The following is a 5,181-nucleotide window of genomic DNA, read 5'->3' on the forward strand; positions in this document are numbered from 1 at the left end:
ATAGGCCTGAACCCGCTCTAAATATTCACTGGAAATTCTACAAAAAGAATATTTCAACACTCTTCTATCAAAAGAAAGGTTGAACTCTGAGAGTTAAATGCACACATCACAAAGAAGTTTCTGAGAATTCTTCTGTCAAGGTTTATATGAAGAAATCCCGTTTCCAATGAAGGCCTCAAAAAAGTCCAAATATTTACTTGCAGATTCTACACAAAGAATGTTTCATAACTGGTCTATCAAAAGAAAGGTTAAACTCAGTGAGTTGAACCCACACATCACAAAGTAGTTTCTGAGAATCATTCTGTCTAGTTTTCCTATGAAGATATTGCCTTTTCTACCATAGGCCTCAAACAGCGCTAAATATCCACCTGGAAATTCTACAAAAACTGAGTTTCAAAATTGCTCTATTGAAAGGAAGCTTCAAGTCTGTGAGTTGAATGTACACATCACAAAGTAGTTTCTGAGAATTCTTCTGTCTAGTTTTAAATGAATAAATCACGTTTCAAACGAAGGCCACAAAGAGGTCCAAATATTCACTTGTAGATTCTACAAAAAGAGTGTTTCAAAACTGCTCCATCACGAGGAATGTTCAACTCTGTGCGTTGAATGCAAATATCACAAATAAGTTTCTGACAATACTTCTGTCTATTTTTTATGTGAAGATATTTCCTTTCCTACTGTAGGCCTCAAAACGCTCTAAATATACACTTGCAAATTCCACAAAAGGGTGTTTCAAAACTGCTCTATCAAAGGAAGCTTAAACTCTGTAAGCTTAATGCAAGCATCACAAAACAGCTTCGGAGAATGAATCTGCCTAGTTTTTCTGTGAAGATATTTCTTTTTCTGCCATAGACCTCACACCGCTGTAAAAATCCACATGGAAATACTACAAAAAGAGTATTTCAAAACTCTTCTATCGAAAGGAAGTTTCAACTCCATGAGTTAAATGCACATATCACAAATAATTTTCTGAGGATTCTTCTTTCAAGTTTTATATGAAGAAATCCCGTTTCCAAAGATGGCCTCAGAAAAGTCCCAATATACACTTGCAGATTCTACAAAAAGAGTTTTTCAAAACTGCTCTATCAAAAGAAAGGTTAAACTCAGTGAGTTGAAGGCACACATCACAAAGTAGTTTCTGAGAATCATTCTGTCTAGTTTTTCTATGAAGATATTGCCTTTTCCACCATAGGCCCCAAACGGCACTAAATATCCACTTGGAAATTCTTCAAAAAGAGAGTTACAAGACTGCTCTATCGAAAGGAAGCTTCAACTCTGCGAGTTGAAAGCACACATCACAAAGAAGTTTATGGGAATTCTTCTGTCTAGTTTTGTATGAAGAAGTCACGTTTCAAACGAAGGCCACAAAGAGGTCCAAATATCCACTTGGAGATTCAACAAAAAGAGTTTTTCAAAACTGCTCCATCAAGAGGAATATTCAACTCTGAGAGTTGAAGGCAGGTATCCCAAAGTAGTTCCCGACAATGCTTCTGTCTAGATTTTATGTGAAGACATTCCCTTTTGTACCACAGGCCTGAAAGCACTCTAAATATAGAATTGCAAATTCCACAAAAAGAGTGTTTAAAACCGCTCTATCCAAAGAAAGGTTAAACTCTGTAAGCTGAATGCGCACATCACAAAGTAGCTTCAGAGAACAATTGTGTCTAGTTTTTCTGTGAAGATATTTTCTCTTCTACATAGGCCTGAAACCGCTCTAAATATTCACTTGGAAATTCTACAAAAAGAATATTTCAACACTCTTCTATCAAAAGGAAGGTTGAACTCTGAGAGTTAAATGCACACATCACAAAGAAGTTTCTGAGAATTCTTCTGTCAAGGTTTCTATGAAGAAATCCCGTTTCCAATGAAGGCCTCAAAAAAGTCCAAATATTTACTTGCAGATTCTACACAAAGAGTGTTTCATAACTGGTCTATCAAAAGAAAGGTTAAACTCAGTGAGTTGAACCCACACATCACAAAGTAGTTTCTGAGAATCATTCTGTCTAGTTTTCCTATGAAGATATTGCCTTTTCTACCATAGGCCTCAAACAGCGCTAAATATCCACCTGGAAATTCTACAAAAACTGAGTTTCAAAAGTGCTCTATTGAAAGGAAGCTTCAACTCTGTGAGTTGAAGGTACACATCACAAAGAAGTTTCTGAGAATTCTTCTGTCTAGTTGTAAATGAAAAAATCACGTTTCAAACGAAGGCCACAAAGAGGTCCAAATATTCACTTGCAGATTCTACAAAAAGAGTGTTTCAAAACTGCTCCATCACGAGGAATGTTCAACTCTGTGCGTTGAATGCAAATATCACAAATAAGTTTCTGACAATACTTCTGTCTAGTTTTTATGTGAAGATATTTCCTTTCCTACTGTAGGCCTCAAAACGCTCTAAATATACACTTGCAAATTCCACAAAAAGAGTGTCTCAAAACTGCTCTATCAAAGGAAGCTTAAACTCTGTAAGCTTAATGCAAGCATCGCAAAACAGCTTCGGAGAATGAATCTGCCTAGTTTTTCTGTGAAGATATTTCTTTTTCTGCCATAGACCTCACACCGCTGTAAAAATCCACTTGGAAATTCTACAAAAAGAGTATTTCAAAACTCTTCTATCGAAAGGAAGTTTCAACTCCATGAGTTAAATGCACATATCACAAATAATTTTCTGAGGATTCTTCTTTCAAGTTTTATAGGAAGAAATCCCGTTTCCAAAGATGGCCTCAGAAAAGTCCCAATATACACTTGCAGATTCTACAAAAAGAGTTTTTCAAAACTGCTCTATCAAAAGAAAGGTTAAACTCTGTGAGTTGAAGGCACACATCACAAAGTAGTTTCTGAGAATCATTCTGTCTAGTTTTTCTATGAAGATATTGCCTTTTCCACCATAGGGCCTCAAACGGCGCTAAATATCCACTTGGAAATTCTACAAACAGAGAGTTACAAGACTGCTCTATCGAAAGGAAGCTTCAACTCTGCGAGTTGCAAGCACACATCCCAAAGAAGTTTATGAGATTCTTCTGTCTAGTTTTGTATGAAGAAGTCACGTTTCAAACGAAGGCCACAAAGAGGTCCAAATATCCACTTGGAGATTCAACAAAAAGAGTTTTTCAAAACTGCTCCATCAAGAGGAATATTCAACTCTGAGAGTTGAAGGCAGGTATCACACAGTAGTTTCCGACAATACTTCTGTCTAGATTTTATGTGAAGACATTCCCTTTTGTACCACAGGCCTGAAAGCACTCTAAATATAGAATTGCAAATTCCACAAAAAGAGTGTTTAAAACCGCTGGATCCAAAGAAAGGTTAAACTCTGTAAGCTGAATGCGCACATCACAAAGTAGCTTCAGAGAACAATTGTGTCTAGTTTTTCTGTGAAGATATTTTCTCTTCTACATAGGCCTGAAACCGCTCTAAATATTCACTTGGAAATTCTACAAAACGAATATTTCAACACTCTTCTATCAAAAGGAAGGTTGAACTCTGAGAGTTAAATGCACACATCACAAAGAAGTTTCTGAGAATTCTTCTGTCAAGGTTTCTATGAAGAAATCCCGTTTCCAATGAAGGCCTCAAAAAAGTCCAAATATTTACTTGCAGATTCTACAAAAAGAGTGTTTCATAACTGGTCTATCAACAGAAAAGGTTAAACTCAGTGAGTTGAACCCACACATCACAAAAGTAGTTTCTGAGAATCATTCTGTCTAGTTTTCCTACGAAGATATTTGCCTTTTCTACCCATAGGCCTCAAACGGCGCTAAATATCCACCCTGGGAAATTCTACAAAAACTGAGTTTCAAAAGTGCTCTATTGAAAGGAAGCTTCAACTCTGTGAGTTGAAGGTAAATATCACAAAGAAGTTTCTGAGAATTCTTCTGTCTAGTTTCTATGAAGAAATCCCGTTTCCAATGAAGGCCTCAAAGAGGTCCAAATATTCACTTGCAGATTCTACAAAAAGAGTGTTTCAAAACTGCTCCATCAAGAGGAATGTTCAACTCTGTGCGTTGCATGCAAATATCACAAATAAGTTTCTGAAAATACTTCTGTCTAGTTTTTATGTGAAGATATTTCCTTTCCTACTGTAGGCCTCAAAACGCTCTAAATATACAGTTGCAAATTCCACAAAAAGAGTGTTTCAAAACTGCTCTATCAAAGAAAGTTTAAACTCTGTAAGCCTAAGGCAAGCATCACAAAACAGCTTCGGAGAATGAATCTGCCTAGTTTTTCTGTGAAGATATTTCTTTTTCTGCCATAGACCTCACACCGCTGTAAAAATCCACTTGGAAATTCTACAAAAAGAGTATTTCAAAACTCTTCTATCGAAAGGAAGTTTCAACTCCATGAGTTAAATGCACATATCACAAATAATTTTCTGAGGATTCTTCTTTCAAGTTTTATAGGAAGAAATCCCGTTTCCAAAGATGGCCTCAGAAAAGTCCCAATATACACTTGCAGTTCTACAAAAAGAGTTTTTCAAAACTGCTCTATCAAAAGAAAGGTTAAACTCTGTGAGTTGAAGGCACACATCACAAAGTAGTTTCTGAGAATCATTCTGTCTAGTTTTTCTATGAAGATATTGCCTTTTCCACCATAGGCCTCAAACGGCGCTAAATATCCACTTGGAAATTCTACAAAAAGAGAGTTACAAGACTGCTCTATCGAAAGGAAGCTTCAACTCTGCGAGTTGAAAGCACACATCACAAAGAAGTTTATGAGAATTCTTCTGTCTAGTTTTGTATGAAGAAGTCACGTTTCAAACGAAGGCCACAAAGAGGTCCAAATATCCACTTGGAGATTCAACAAAAAGAGTTTTTCAAAACTGCTCCATCAAGAGGAATATTCAACTCTGAGAGTTGAAGGCAGGTATCACAAAGTAGTTTCCGACAATGCTTCTGTCTAGATTTTATGTGAAGACATTCCCTTTTGTACCACAGGCCTGAAAGCACTCTAAATATAGAATTGCAAATTCCACAAAAAGAGTGTTTAAAACCGCTCGATCCAAAGAAAGGTTAAACTCTGTAAGCTGAATGCGCACATCACAAAGAAGCTTCAGAGAACAATTGTGTCTAGTTTTTCTGTGAAGATATTTTCTCTTCTACATAGGCCTGAAACCGCTCTAAATATTCACTTGGGAATTCTACAAAAAGAATATTTCAACACTCTTCTATCAAAAGGAAGGTT

The 5,181-nt window shown here is 36.4% G+C and overlaps 1 annotated feature.

Annotated features, from left to right (window-relative positions):
• Nucleotides 1-5,181: part of a centromere (Linear centromere model derived predominantly from reads generated in PMID: 17803354. This region does not represent an actual centromere sequence, as long-range ordering of repeats and unmapped WGS contigs is not provided by the model. For details of model production, see http://arxiv.org/abs/1307.0035.) that runs on past both edges of the window.

Source organism: Homo sapiens, chromosome 3, assembly GCF_000001405.40.
Source record: "Homo sapiens chromosome 3, GRCh38.p14 Primary Assembly".
Lineage (NCBI taxonomy): Eukaryota > Metazoa > Chordata > Mammalia > Primates > Hominidae > Homo > Homo sapiens.